Source organism: Homo sapiens, chromosome X, assembly GCF_000001405.40.
Source record: "Homo sapiens chromosome X, GRCh38.p14 Primary Assembly".
In the NCBI taxonomy this organism is placed as follows: domain Eukaryota; kingdom Metazoa; phylum Chordata; class Mammalia; order Primates; family Hominidae; genus Homo; species Homo sapiens.
In genome coordinates this window covers 135,574,498-135,589,839 of record NC_000023.11, presented here as the reverse complement: position 1 = coordinate 135,589,839, position 15,342 = coordinate 135,574,498, and the positions used below count along the sequence as shown (strand labels likewise).

Sequence of the window (15,342 nt, the reverse complement as noted above, 5' to 3'; positions counted from 1 at the left end):
TCCATGTGTTCTCATTGTTCGGCTCCCAGTTACAAATGAGAACATGCAGATGAACACCTTTTTTTCAGTTCTTTTGAGTACATTCATAGGAATGGAATTGCTCAGTCAAATGACAGTCCAATGTTTACCATTTGGAAGAAATGTTTTCCACAATGGCTGTACCTTTTCACTTTCTGAACAGCAGTGTATGAAGGTTTCAATTCCTCCACATCTCCAACAATGCTTGTCGTTTTTCATTTTAAAAATTATGGCCATCCTAGTAGGTATGAATTGTGGTTTTTATTGTGATTTTGATTGTGTATCTCTAGTAATTAATGATGTTGAACATCTTTTCATGTACTTGTTGGTCAGTTGTATGTCTTCACTGGAGAAAAGTCTACTCAACTCCTCTGCCCATTATTCATCTTTTTGTTGTTGAGAGTTCTTTTTATATTATGGATACTAGACCCTTATCAGATGTATGTTTTGCAAGTATTTTCTCCCATGCTGTGGTTGTCTTTTCACACTCTTTTGTTTTGTTTTGTTTTGTTTTTAGACAGAGCCTCACTCTATTGCCCAGGTTGGAGTGCAGTGGCGCAATCTTGGCTCACTGCATCCTCCATCTCCTGGGTTGAAGCGATTATACTGTCTCAGTCCCCCAAGTAGCTGGGATTACAAGTGTGTGCCACCACACCCGGCTAATTTTTGTATTTTTAGTGGAGTCGAGGTTTCACCATATTGGCCAGGCTGGTCTTGAACTCCTGACTTCAGGTGATCCGCTTGCCTCTGCCTCCCAAAGTGTTGGGATTACAGGCATGAGCCACCGTGCCTGGCCATTTTCACGCTCTTGATACAGTTTTTTGATACACAGTTTTTAACTTTGATAAAATCAAATTATCTATTTTTTTTTGCTTTTGCTTTGGTGTCATATCTAAGAAGTCATTGCCAAATCCAAGGTCATGAACCTTTACTCCAAAGTTCCCTTTTAAGAGTTTTATGGTTGTAGTTCTTTTATTTTGATGTTGATCCATTTTGAGTTAATTTTTGTATGTGTTGTGAGGTAAGGGTCCAACTTCTGTTATTAGTTTCTGGTTTGACTCCATTATGCTCTAAGAAGATACTTTGTATGACTTAGTCTTTTTAAACTTATTGTCATTTGTTTTGTGGCCTAATATATGGTTGATCTTGGAGAACACTCCATGAGCACTTTAGAAGAATGTGTGATCTGCTATGGTTGGTGGAGTGTTCTATAGGCATCTGTTTTGACTTTTTCTTTAATCCATTAGTTATTTAAGAGTGTGTTGTTTTATTTCCACATATTTATACATTTTCCAATTTTCCTTCTGTTATTGATGTTTAGTTCCATTCCATTTTGGTTGGAGGATATACTTTGTGTGATTTCAATCTTTTTAATTTTATGCAAACTTGTTCTGTAGCTTAACATACCTTCCATCATGGAGACTGTTCCATGTGCATTTGACAATAATGTATAGTCTGGTGTTGTTGGGACAAGTGTTCTATTTATGTCTGTTAGACCTAATCAGTTTATAGTGTTCAAGTCTTCTATTTACTCATCCTTCTTCTGACTAGTACTTCTATCCATTATTGAAGTCTCCAACTATTATTGTAGAACTGTATATTTTCCCTTCAATATGTCCGTTTTTGCTTCACTTATTTTGGGGCTGTCTTGACTGGTGCATATATTTATAATTTTTACAACTTTTTGATGGGTTGGCCAATTTATCAATATATAAGGTCCTTTTTGGTCTCTTGTAACAATTTTTGGTTTCAAGTCTATTTTGTCTGATATTAGTAATAGATATCCATCTCACTTTTGGTTACAATTTGCATGGAATATCTGTTTTCATCCTTTCACTTTTAACCTATTTGTCAATTTGTCTTTAAGGTGAATCTCTTATACACAACGTAGAGTTGGATCACTTTTGTAAATCATTCTGTCAATGTTTAACAAACAGCTTTACTGAGAGCTTTATTTTACACCATGCAATTCATCCATTTAAAGTGTATAATTAGATGGCTGTTATATTACATTATTAATTTTTTAAAATTATGGTAATATATGTATAACATAAAATTTGTTATTTTAACCAATTTGACATATACAGTTCAGTGGCTTTAAAAAATTATTATTATTTTTGTGGGGGTAAAATTAAATTTATTATCAGTGATAATTGTCAGTTTCAACCAGCAGCAGTTATTGCTCCCAAGCTTTGAAAATGGGGTTCCCCTTGGTTAATGCTGTCTTTAAGAGTCCTTCCTGTTTCTTAGCTGAGAGAGGAGGGCTGCACAACATAAAGGGTTGGCGGAGGAGCAAGCCAACAGGAAGAGGCACTTGGCCTTAACTCAGAGAAGGGGAAAGATGGTCACTCTGTTTTCTTTCGGTGGCAGTAAGGGCTTTATCAAGGTACTTAGTGCCATCAGTTCCTGCACTGGGGAACCCAGGGCTCCAGGTCAGCAAGAGACAGGACCTAAAAGACATTAAATTCTGGGAAGACAGCCGAGGAGGTAGGCCAGTCCCACAAGGGAGAGGACACTGCCTGTATGGATTGGATGGGGGCATGCAAAATGACACCCCCATCCCTAAGCCCTGTAATCTGTAAATGTGACCTTACTTGATAAAAGGGTCTTTGCAAATGTAATTAAATTAAGGATCCCAAAATGAGATTAACCTAGATTTCAGGTGGGCCCTATATCCAATGACAGTCCAATCTCTAACAAGATAAAAACAGAGGGAGATTTGAGACAGGCATAAGGAGAAGATGTGAAGATGGAGGCAGAGATTGGAGAGATGCGGCCACAAGTCATGGAAGGCCTGGAGCTGCCAGGAGCTGAGAGAAGCTGGAAGGTGCGTCCCACTAGCACTTGTGAAGGGAACATGGCCCTGCCCAGACCTTGATTTTTAACTTCTGGCCTCTAGAACTGTGAGAGAATAAATTTCTGTTGTTTAAAGCCATTCAGTGTGTGTAAATTTGTTACTGCAGTCACAAGAAACTGATACACTGCCCTTCTTGGTGGTGGGTCCCAAGCTCTCAAGAGGTCACCCAAGGTCAAGGTTGGCTTCCTGATAAGATTCCTGAGCTTCTGTAGAAGACCCCATTGAGATAGGACTTCCGCATGGTTACCTGAGCTCAGGCCACTCACCCTGGGAGGGCCGCGTCAGAAGAGTGGTGACAGGAAGAAATGCAGTGGTGGGGGTGGCAGGGGCAGAGGGAAGGCAGGCAGCAGCCAGGGGTCCTGGGGTGCCGGGGGCACCAGCAGGCTGAAGGGCGAGAGCCACCAGGGCAGTGGTGGCAGTGGCTGCAGGGGCTATTATTATTTTTCAATAAAGATGGGGTCTCACCGCATTGCCCAGGCTGTCTCAAACTCATGGCCTCAAGTGGTCCTCCTGCCTTGGTCTCCCACAGTGCTGGGATGATAGATGTGAGCCACTACACCTGGCCTTTTTAAATTTATTTTTTTCAATTCAGTGGCTTTAATTACATCCACAATGTTATGCAATCATTACCACTACCTATTTCTAAACTTTATCATCACCTAAACAGAGACTCTGTAACCATTCAGCATTAACTCCACATTATCCCGTCCCCACCCCCCCAGCCCTAACTTAAAACCTAAAAGTAACCTATATGGTTATCTTGAGACTGGTACTTTATGTTTCTTCCTAAGGCTTCTAAGTACTGTCTTGTGTCCTTTCATTTCACCCTGAAGAACTCTTTACCATTTCTTGTAGGAAAACGCTGCTAGTGGCAAACTCCTTCAAGTTTTGTTTATCTGAGAATGTCTTAATTTCTCCTTCATTTGTGAAGGTTAGTTTGGCCAGATATAGAATTCTTGATTGACAGTTTTTTTTTCTCCTGGTAACACTTTAAACATGTAATTACATGGCTTTCTGGCTTTCATTGCTTCTAATGAGAAATTGGTTGTTAATCTTAGTAAGGATCTTTTTTGACAGGTAATTTCTCTCTCAGTGCTTTCAAGATTCTCTTTGTCTTTGAACAGTTTGACATAATGCTTTTCAGTGTGGATCTGTTTGAGTTTATCTCCCTTAGAATTCCTTGAGCTTGTTGCATGTGTAGATTCATGTCTGTTATTAAATTTGGGAGTTTGGGGCCAATGTTTCTTTAAATATTCTTTATGCTACTTTCCCTCCTCTCCTTCTGGGTATCCTATTGTGTATATGTTGTTACACTTGATGATGTCCCATAAGTCTCTTAAGTTACGTTCATTCTTCTTAATTCTCCTTTCTTTCTACTCCTCAGACTGGATAATTTCAATCAACTTATCTTCAAGTTCACTGATTGTTTCTTTTGCCTGATCAAAGCTGCTATTGGCCCCTCCTCCTGCCTTCCTCCCTTCTCCTCTTCTCTCTCTCCCCTCCCCTCTTCCTTCCTCTCCCTCCTTCCCTTTTCCCTCAGTCATCCATCCTCCCTCCTTCCCCCACTCTTGAAGAGCATGCCGCATGGGGGACGGGCTAGTTACTTGCTCCAATGGCGGGTGAGCACGGTGTCACCCCAGCCCTGAGTGCTGGGAGCCACCTGGCCTGCATCCAGCCTCCCTGATTGTCCCTTTTCTAGCCCCATGCCTGCACCTGTGTGCCCTAACACATTGCACACCGAACAGCCATGGGCCCTGAGTAGCCACCACCCCGATCATGCTCTGGACTTGCCTGCAGCAGCACAATGAATGATTTTAGAATCAAGAATATGGACCACATAGCTCCTGTGGCTAACAGTTACGGAGGGACACTCAGGCACCAGCCAGCCTTTGACACTTTTTATGGGTCTCTGCTGTGTTTCACTCTCTAAAGAGCAAACATGTAACAAACCTGCACGTTGTGCACATGTACCCTAAAACTTAAAGTATAATAATAATAAAATAAAAATTAAAAAAAGAGCAAACACTGTAAAAAGTGCCAACAGGCTTGGATTCAATTTCTCATGACTTGCCAACTGTGCATTGTCCTTGTTAACGCTGTATAGCAAGGCTGTGATGAATCAAGCTTTAAAAGCTACCTTCAGTGGCTTCAAAAAGGAGAAATAGTGCTTTGGCTTTCCAAAGAAACCCTGGCTATGGAGGGAGCAGTAAGTATGCCAGGGGCTTATCTGCACTACCAACAAGTTCAGTCTGGTGAACGTGAATCTCCAGAGGCTTAGCATGAGTGGCCAGGTATTGTATAACCTTGGCAAGGAGTACTTTCTGGAGCTGGTACTTGACTTTGTGGATGACATTTTCTGGGAACATCTGGACCAGATGACCGAAGAAAGCCAAGAAAAGACAAAAGATCAATGTAAAGAAAATTCATGCCTGAACTCAATTCCTCATTGGTTTAACAGCAATACATTAGGTTTTGGCATAAAGCAGGTACCCTATGGTATGCAAACACACAATTACCCCAAAGGCAGCCTCCTGGACAGCATGTGTCCAGCTTCTGCACCCAGCGTGCTCAGCTCTGAACAGGAGTTTCAGATGTTCTCCAAGTCTCAGCTCAGCCCTATCAGCCTCAACTATGCTCCATCAGTCAGGACTTTCTAGGCAACTTGAATTTGCTCACCAACAATTCTGGGAAGCCTAAAGACCACAAATCCCCTGAGAATGGTGCAGACATTTAAAGCTGTCTGCTTTTTTAACATTTAAATCATGAGGCAGACAGCTTTGAGAGCTCAGGCACCTGGAACAACCAGTCATCCTTACTGGATGTGCAGCAGGTTCCTTTCTTCGAGAGCTTCAAAGAAAACTGCAGTCAGTCCCCCTGCCTCAAAAAGTTGACCATGCCTTTCAAGGATTACATCCAAGAGAGGAGCAACCCGGTGGAGCAAGGCAAACCAGTTATACCTGTGGCTGTGCTGTCTGGCTTCACAGAAAGTGGACCTATTCACCCACAGCAGTTTTTCCTGGAATTTTAGACAGTCTTGCCAGTCATTTCATCAGCTGGAATAGGGACAGGTGGGAGTTTAAACTTGCCAACCCTGACAATGTTGCCTGCCAGTGGGGAATCAGGAAAAATAAGCCCAAGATGAACTACAAGAAGCTGAGCCTGGGTTTACCTACTATCATGACAAGAACATCATCCATAAGATGTCGGGAAAGTGCTATATGTGCTGCTTTTTGTGTGACGTCCAGAACTTGCTGGGGCTCATGCCTGAGGAACTGTACACCATTCTGGGCTTCCAGCCAAACACAGAGGGCTGAGGTCTCTGGGACCACCATGAATCAGCCCCAGGCCCGTGGACTGAGTGGGAAGCCCATCCTGACCAACTACTCCAAGGACCCAGGAAAGACACGATTGAATGTCCAGGAACGTCTCCAAGAAGCAGTGGACTTATTGCATCCAAAACCACACCTCTTGACCAGGCTTTCTCTCCTGTGGCAGAGAAGGCACAGCTAATACTACTCACCGTGCTTTTAAATTAAAATGGTCGAGAAACAGGCACTGGGAAGCCATCTTGGCTCCTAGCAGGCTATGGGAAGGGATGGTGCTGGCTGTTTGAGAGTCTCAAAGGAGCAAGCATATCATGAATGCACACAAACTATTTTTCCATTTTCCTTTGTGTTTTGCAACCAGGAATAGAAAATGCAAAAACTCCCTCTTTGTTTGAGAGGGGTAGGAAGGTGGGAAGTAAGCAGCCATGCCATTTCAGAAGTCAGCTTGTATATATTATTATTTGAGACAGGGTCTTGCTCTGTTGCTCAGGCTGGAGTTCAGTGGTGTGATCACAGTTCACTGCAGCCTCCACCTCCTGGGCTCCAGCAGTCCTCCCACCTGAGTCTCCTGAGTAGCTGGGACCACAATTGTGTGCAACCACGTCCAGCTAATTAAAAATACATATATTTTGGAGAGATGGGGTCTCGCCATGTTGCCCAAGCTGCTCTTGAACTCCTGGGCTCAAGTGGTCTTCCCACCTTGGCCTCCCAAAGTGCTGGGATTACAGATGTGGGCCACTGCACCTGGCCTCAAATTTCTTTCTTACTCAGCCATTCCAAGGGTGAGTTGAAATGCCACAAAGCTCCCCTACCATGTTTCAATGACTTCTCTCCTAATTCAGGATTGGCTTGGTTGCTGTAAACCTTTTACTATATTCTAGAGTTCCAATAAAACTTGATTCTGACAGGTTTTTTTTTCCCCCAGTGTTTTCCAAGTTTCTTGAAAGTGACTAGTCCGTGGGTACTCTACTCTGTGATTTTTCACTAGCGTCACTCAATTCTGTGAGTGATGTTTTGAAGTTTAAATCCTTATGTTAACATCTTAACTTGTTTAACAGCATACACTCTTTTTCTGAAAGGAGTAACAAATCACAAGAAACATATAAGTAGAAATTTATCCAGCATTAATGAACTTGTGAAAATCAATAAAATGATTTATTTTATATATGCAAAATCAAAATCTCTTTGTACACTTTAATTTTTGCAAATTCATACAAACATAACAATACTGCTCCATATAAACTTTTGTATAAACATTAAAGGAAATATACACATATTTTGTTCTTCTTGTGCTTCCAAAGCACAGAATGTATAAGTCCATCTGAAGACTTTCTATCATCACATGCAAGAACAAATGTCAGAGGTTGGGGGCAGCCTCAAGTGCACTTTGTAATGTCTCTAGACAAAAGAGAAGAGAGTTGGAGGTAGATTGTTTGGTGACTCTCCCTGCCCCTTCCCACAGAGAAATAAGTTACCCAAATAGCAGCTTCTTACTTCTTTGATTCAAACTATCCTGAATATTGCATGGTTTAAAAGGCACAACTAGGAATTGTTGAAAACTTTGTTCAGCACACATAAGATTGCCATTTCCTTTCTGTACACCTATTCTTTCTGAAGGACACAGTAAGAGCACCAAGTTGTGCTCCACTTGCAGGTGGCCCCTCGCCACTCTGAGAATGCCTGGAATGGCAAAGTTCAAGTGAGTGACCTCTCATTACCCGTGGTAGGGGCAGTGGTGTTTACCGAATTTAGCCTGTGAATTAATAACATCAGCTTCCTCAATTGAGGAAAACAAAACAAAACAATTCATACTTTAAAAAATTATTAAGGCAAAAGCCCAGCTTTCACTGCCAGATAATCATAAAATTCAAAAGCCCCACTGCTGCTTCTTAGCATCTGGAAAGCAATTCCCTTGACTCAAACATTCCAGGAGGCTTCAACAATATCCTGTTCCATCCTACAGCACAGAAAACTTGTCATTTTTTTCTCACTGGTCTTTGCACTAACATGATGATCTGCTGTTGATGTGACTAATGTTGTTGTGAAGGTGGTGGGAATTTATTTTTTCTAGTACCTTCTCAAGGTACTGAATTAGGACTCGTCTTTTAAACCTGAAAATAAAGAGAAATTTTATGAACCAAAAGATACTTAAAGTACTCATGATGTTCAAGGCACTGTGTGGGATACAAATCGAAGCTTACAATCTACATAGGAATATAAAGATTGTCCTCATGGAAAGATATGTCTTAGAGCAAGTACCAATAGTGGCAATTGAGGGCCCAAGCCTACCTGAGGCTATGATAAAAGTAGAAGGATGAATGAGTTGAGTTCAGATAACATAAATCCAAATACTTCTGGAGACAGCCTTAACTATGAGTGAGGGCCAGGGTTTGAGAAAAAAGCAAGGCAGAGCCTATTCCTCTCTTTTTCCTGCACTGGGCCCTACTGCTCTAAAAACAAAAACAAAAAATTGAAGAGTTCCTGTTTATACCTACCTTGCGGCTTCCTTGATGGTAAATTCAACAAACTGTTTCTTCATCTCCAGAGGTCCTTGCACTTCTTCAAGCAAAATGAAAATTCTTTCATATTCTGAAGATATTTAAAAAAACTTCAGTATTTTTATAAAGATGAATGGGAAATAAAATTTAATTGTTGTACATCCTTAGTAATTGTTCTTCGTGAGTGGAAAGTTAGATGTAGTTTGTATTTTAACATTCTTATCAAAATATCTGCATGCATCTACTAGGGCAACTCTTGTTAACACTAACCAAATGTAGCAGGCTGAATAGCAGCTGCTTAAAATTGTCTACATATTAATCCCTGGAACCTGTGAATACATTACCTTATATAGCAAAAAAGACTTTACTTTGCAGGTGTAATTAAGTTAAGGATCTTGAGATGGGGAGATTATCCAAGTTTATGCATGTGGGCCCAATGTAAGCACAAGTGTCCTTATAAGATGAAACAGTAGAGTTAAGGTCAGAGAGAAAACATGTAAAGACAGAAGCAGAGGTCAGAGAGGAGAAAAAGTGCTAAGGGTGTTTTCATGAAGATGGAGGAAGGGGCCATGGGCCAAGGAATACAGATGGCCCTTAGAAGCTCGAAAAGGCAAAGAAAGAAATTCTCTCTAGAGCTAGCAGAAGGAATGCTGGTCTGCCAACACTATTTTGGCCCAGCAAAAATAATTTCAAAATTCTGACTTCCAGAACTTAATATAATAATTTGTATTGTTTTAAGCTAGGAATCTTTTGATAACTTGTTACGGCAGCAAAAGGAAACATTACAAGAAATAAGGGGAAAAAACAGGAAAATATAGACTGTACCTTTTTAGTTAAAACAAGAGGAACTGCCTTAAACTATGTGAAAGCCCAATATTGCCCCCAGTGTACCTCAAGGGATAGCTTGAATCTATAGTGAATCACAGAATGAGAGAAACCTCCTGGTGCATTATTGATAGATGTTCTTTCACTACTTACTTCGACCAAACTTTCGAACTTCCTTCATTAATTGATGTTTTATATCAGCATTGATTCCTTGTGCCATAGCAGGAGTGATTTGTAATGTATTTGGCATAGCTCCCAAAGTAGATGCTACTGGGTCTTTTTGGTCATCTACGGAGAGACTGCAGTTTTTGGCTCCTCCTACAAATGCGTTACTACCAGGTTTTTGAATCAGCCCATCTTTGCTGAGACTTGTGAAGTCGTCAGACAGAGAATCCACTTGGTTGGGTGGCATAAGATCTCCTGTCATATTTATAAGCTCTGATGGAGCAGATTTTGACAGGAAGCCATCAGGTGTGATCTGACCATTTTCCATCTTCTCCTCATGGCCATCGTGAATGATAGTAGCATCTGGAAACCAAATGAAGAGGTTGAGCTGTGAGGTAAGGGTATTATGTCAACCCCACAGGTATATCCCTCTGATGCTCAATTTCTAGGAAATTATCTCATAAAGCAGGATGATATACCAGGTGGCGATCTGAGACCCCTCAAATTGAGGCCAGGACACATAATACAATAAAACCACCTCTTATTTTCTGGCCCTATGAATACATATGGAAACCAAGTAAGACAGTACAACTCTAAACACACATTCACAGATCCCTGGTACTCATGCGTTAGTGTCAGCTTGTTATGCTTTACAAGTTGAAAACAGCAAGTCTCACTTTATTTCATGATTTCTCAAATTCACATACAACCTGCCATGCTTTACTGAGCTGGAAGCCAGACAACTTGGATACACCACAACCTGCCTCCTCTTTACATCAAATACATTCTGAGAAAATAGAGGCGGCCATTAGTGCTGAAAGTTCTATACACACTCCATCACCAAAAATCCCTCTTAGTGTATTATCTTCCTAATCCTTCTTTTCTGTGTCAGAAAAGTACTTTCTTTTCACTCCAGATCTGACACCTCTTTCATTTATTCATCGTCTGTGGCAGGCAGTGTGTCGGGAGCTGGAGATCAGCAGTAAACAGCCAGAGCAACGTTCCCTGCCCTTGTGGAGCTCACATCCTCATGGGGCAGTCAGACAGTACATGCACAATGAGCAAATGAAACAAGCAGCATTGGGCTGGTGTTGGGGAAGTCATCTACAGGCCTTTGGGAGACAGCAGCAGAGGGAGCCCCAGGGGCTCCCGTGTTAGGAGAAGGTGACAGAGGCCAGCCGTGCAGTCTTGCAGACTAAAGCTGGTTCAGGGTCCCTTCTGAGTGCTCAGGAGAGTTGAGGACAGGTTTTCAGGAGCGACATGGCATGATGTGATATACATGCAGACATAATTTTCTGGCCACAGGGTTAGAGAGTATGTGATAGATGGGGGCTAGATTAGAAACATGAAGCTGGGATAAGAAGGTATTGTAGTAGTGTGGTGAGAGGCCACAGCAGTGTGCACTGGAGGGATAGAGAGAAATAGTGGGATTTAGGGATTATGTTGAACATCAAGTTTCCTGAACTTGTGAAAGGTATCAAAGCGAGGGAAGAATAAGAGAAAAATCATGATGACTCTATGGTTTGTCAGCTGAACCGCTGGGTAAATAGTGCTGAAGTGTGGCAGGAGCCAGGGCACAACTGCCCTCCAGAGCATTCTTCCCGACTCTGGTTCAATGACCTCAGGTTGACAGCTTGACTTTGATAAATATTAGCATTATTTACATGAAGGAAATCTGCAAACACTACAATCTAGAGCTTCTCTACCCTCCTCAACCCTGACAGATGTTAAAGCTTTACTGGCACATATCTGGATGGTGTCATTATCTGCAATGTGGAAGGCTACAAGTAGAGCTGTTTTGGAGAGGGGCAAGTTCGAGAGTTCAGTTGAAACTCATGAAACCTACTGAGTTTTATTTGTCTATTAGACACCTAAGTGGAGATGCATGTCCACAAGTAAGTCTGAGTCTGAAATTGAGGAGCAATTTATATTCTAGAGGTCAAATTTAGAGCCCCAAGACTGCATGGGGTCACCTAGGAAGAGAACGCAGTGAAGGACAGGAGAGGTACCAGGATTGAGTTTTGAGGCCCTATGATATTTAGAGGTGGAAAGAAAAGGCAAAACCAGAAAAAGAGGATGAAAGGGAGTTGCTATTAGAGGGAAAAGAAAGCTATAAGCTTATGGTGTCTGAGCACCCAACGTACACATGGAGGAGGGAGTGAACAACTGTGTCAAATGCTGTGGAGAAGGAATGGCAATGTGCTGCACACACTAGTGACCTTGATGAGAATGTTTCAGTGGGGTCGAGGAGGCAGATACCAGACTGCACCGGATTAGAGCATGCATAGGTGGTGATAACACAAAGAGCAAGTGCAGATCCAGTCTTGCTGAGTCCACTTGCTCCTACTGCCAGGGAAACCTGCTTTATCCTCCTCACCCTTGCAGCCACTCCAAAAGGTTGCAGCAGACATGCTCACCTCTTTCCATTTCTCCATTAATTACTGTGGCATTTACTTGCTAAGCAATGTATTCATTACTGTTAATTACTGTGTGTTAATTACTATATAATTATAATTTTTTTCACCTCATGTAGATTGAGATCCTTGAAACAGGGTCTCTGCTCCCTGTGGGGTTTATTGTACCTACCAAATAGATGATTTAGTAATGGCTTACTTAATGAACACAAACTGAACACAAAGGAAGGAACACAAAAAGGGAAATAAAATTGTTTAGCGTCTTAGTCCTCTAGGAGCCATAAGGAAATCACAACCACTACTCTATACCTGTATGTACAAGGGTGGGTTTTATGAGGTTTGGATAAGATGGGAACCACGAGGCTGAGGGTGGTCCCTTTCCGCCCACATGGTTAGTTACAGTAGGTGGTGTTTGTGGTTTCCTCAACAGCAGGGACATACTCCGCCTTCTCTTAGATGACATAGGACTGTTGGGTTCCCCTGGACGTTTCACTTTGTTTTGTGGCCCTGCTACAAACTCATCTGCTTCATCAATCATCATTCCCTAAAAAACACATAAATGAACGTATTTCATTAAAGACCAAAATTCCACTATTATATAACTGCAAGCACTCTTAATATGCATACATAATCAATCTTGCATTATATCACGAATATGTCTTTTTTTCTTTCATTTTTTTAAATCCCATGCCAGATTAACTAATATAAACCTTAATCATGGGCCGAAGATTTATCTTACCCCACCCCAACTTTGTTCTTAGAAATATGCAACTCAATTTTAATCCAATTTAAATGGAACAAGGAGGAAACTAACATACAGGATGTTGTCCCAAGCAAAACATACTACAATAATGATTAATCAGAAAGTTTGCAAATAAGCAGCATTATTCAACCAAAAGGAGAGAAGTACGAACTATTTTGCATCAACTCTTCATAAGGGAAATAATTTCCTTTTTTATGCTCCAAACTCATATCATTAAACAACATTGATTATCACTGTACAGTATGCTACATGTACGTGTTGAAAGGCAGGCAGGTGGAAAATGCACCTCCCCATCTGCAGCCTCACAGAGATTCAAATATGCCCACTTTGGTGCTGGGCAGGCAGTGAGGAGGCTTTTCACTCTTGGGGGGATAGATAAAAGATGAGAGGCAGCAGTATAGAAATTTAGCCAAGAGCTGTTCTTGTCCAGGAATAATCCAAGAATATGTGCCCTCATTAGTTGAATAAAATAATAATAAATGGCTTTTCCAAAAGATTTTTTACTCATAAACAATACAGAAAGGGGAAAACATTTTCAGATAATTTACTACATGCCTGTTCATGTTGTAAACAATGTGCATGTACTCACTTAATATTATGCAGAGTTCTATTAGTTAATTAGGTGTAATTTTTTTTTTTTTTTTTTGAGATGGAGTCTCACTCTGTCACCCAGGCTGGAGCGCAGTGGTACGATCTTGGTTCACTGCAATCTCCGCCTCCCAGGTTCAAGTGATTCTCCTGCCTAAGACTTCCAGAGTAGCTGGGATTACAGGCACCCACCACCACGCCTGGCTAATTTTTGTATTTTTAGTAGAGACAGGGTTTTGCCATGTTGGCCAGGCTGGTCTCAAACTCCCAACCTCAAGTGATTTGCCTGCCTCGGCCTCCCAGTGTGCTGGGATTACAGGCGTGAGCCACCTCGTCCAGCATAGTTAGGTGTAATTATTATCCCCAGTGCTACAAAATGAGGAAAGTGAAGCATAGAAAGATAAATTGAGGATTTAGGTGACGTGGAATACCTTTCAATCAGTCTTGTCACAAAAGAGATTATTGTGTGGTCTGAGCCTTAATTAACACCAATGGTCTCCTCCATGAGTGCAGCTATAATCCCATTTGTTTTCATGCTTTAATGGGCAAGTCAGTATAACACACACACACACACATACACACACACACACACACACACACTCCCCACATTTAGATTTTTAGTAGGACCATTCAAGTAAAACAACATCACTTAGTACTTCATATTTCAAGGGACACATTCATCGTTTTCTAGATCAAGCACTACAGATATGAATCATGGAAACAGGAAATAAACTGTGATTTCGATATTAAAGAAATTAGTGTGTGGTGGAATGAATATAGATTCTGGAGTGAGAAAGACGTGGATTCAAATCCTTGCTCTTATGTGCTATGTCACAGGTAAGGCGTTTGACCACTGTGGCCTTTGATTTCTCCCTTTTAAAGGACAAACAGTAACATTTGTCTTACAGAACAGTTGTGAGCATTAAGTGAGATCATTTAAAACACCAGCTCCTACTAGTACTCAATACATGGCAGCTCTGACTTTATTCAACCAACACACTCTTGCATCAGGAGGCTCCCACTAAGAGCCTTAGTGTCATATTTTATTGTTTAAACAAACAAATGAAGAACCTCTGATTTGTATTTATCTTGCCAAAAAGAAAATAATTATATAGCAAGAATATCCCAATTTAGGCAGACATAGGCATAGGTATCCTACCTTCTTATCTTGTTTAAACGGATTGCCAAAAGTATGCAGTCTTTTGGGTTGGTCTGGATCAATCTCTCGCAGTGGAGAAGCCAATGTCTTCAGATATTCCTGATAGTTACCCATTTGTGCAACTGGAACACTATGAAGGGAATCTGCAAAATCACAGGAAAAGAAATTGATGCTTATAGCTGAAGCGTATGGTCCTTTCGAGAAGACATGATCATAGTTTGGTTTAGCAGTGTGTGTCTTGGCATCAAATAGTATTTAAAGTCTCGAATCTAGCATTCTAGGATCTAGAATCATCTCTCTTCATCCCAATCATAACTTAGTCTACCGTTACTACTGCCTACAGGCTCACATCGCTAGGATCAGAACAACTCCCTTGCCTTCAAACCAGGTTTGAGAATGGGCTGACCCTACACCACCATCCCAACTCAAATCACCACATATCTTCTGCATTTCAAAGAGTCTAGTCTCTATGGCATTCACTTATCATCCAGAGAATCTTGGTTAGTAGGTCTTAATCACTGAAAATTTGATTAAATCTGTAGGTTCTCTTCCTAGAAAAGCCCTCTTACACACAAAACTTTGTGTATAATTTCAGGGAATTGACCAGAATAAGATTTGCTCATTTTAGTGAACAGGTGAGCCTTTTTAAAATTAACAAAATGGAGTAAATGGAATTTGTAAATAGTCACAATTATCCTGGATACCATTAGGTTGATTACTTTCATTTAA

General features: G+C 41.1%; 1 protein-coding gene and 1 pseudogene across 18 annotated transcripts in view; one reads left to right on the top strand and one right to left on the bottom strand.

Moving 5' to 3' along the window:
• On the top strand, positions 4,680-5,561 carry ETS2P1 (ETS2 pseudogene 1; annotated as a pseudogene).
• The window catches only part of INTS6L (integrator complex subunit 6 like), a 61,851-nt gene continuing 53,838 nt past the window's right edge, over positions 7,330-15,342 (bottom strand). For 6 of the 18 annotated variants that reach the window (NR_147256.3, XM_006724741.5, NM_001351604.3 and 3 more), the window contains 5 exons: positions 14,614-14,756; positions 12,545-12,647; positions 9,678-10,052; positions 8,697-8,790; positions 7,330-8,312 (listed from right to left, as the gene is read on the bottom strand). Coding sequence is in view for 17 of the 18 variants with exons in the window: in XM_006724741.5 (XP_006724804.1) it covers positions 8,204-8,312; positions 8,697-8,790; positions 9,678-10,052; positions 12,545-12,647; positions 14,614-14,756 (824 nt within the window). In the remaining variant the exon portion in view is untranslated. Of the gene's footprint in view, positions 8,313-8,696; positions 8,791-9,677; positions 10,053-12,412; positions 12,648-14,613; positions 14,757-15,342 lie in introns of those variants that run through there. The other 12 variants (NM_001351601.3, NM_182540.7, XM_047441909.1 and 9 more) reach the window with 4 other exon arrangements.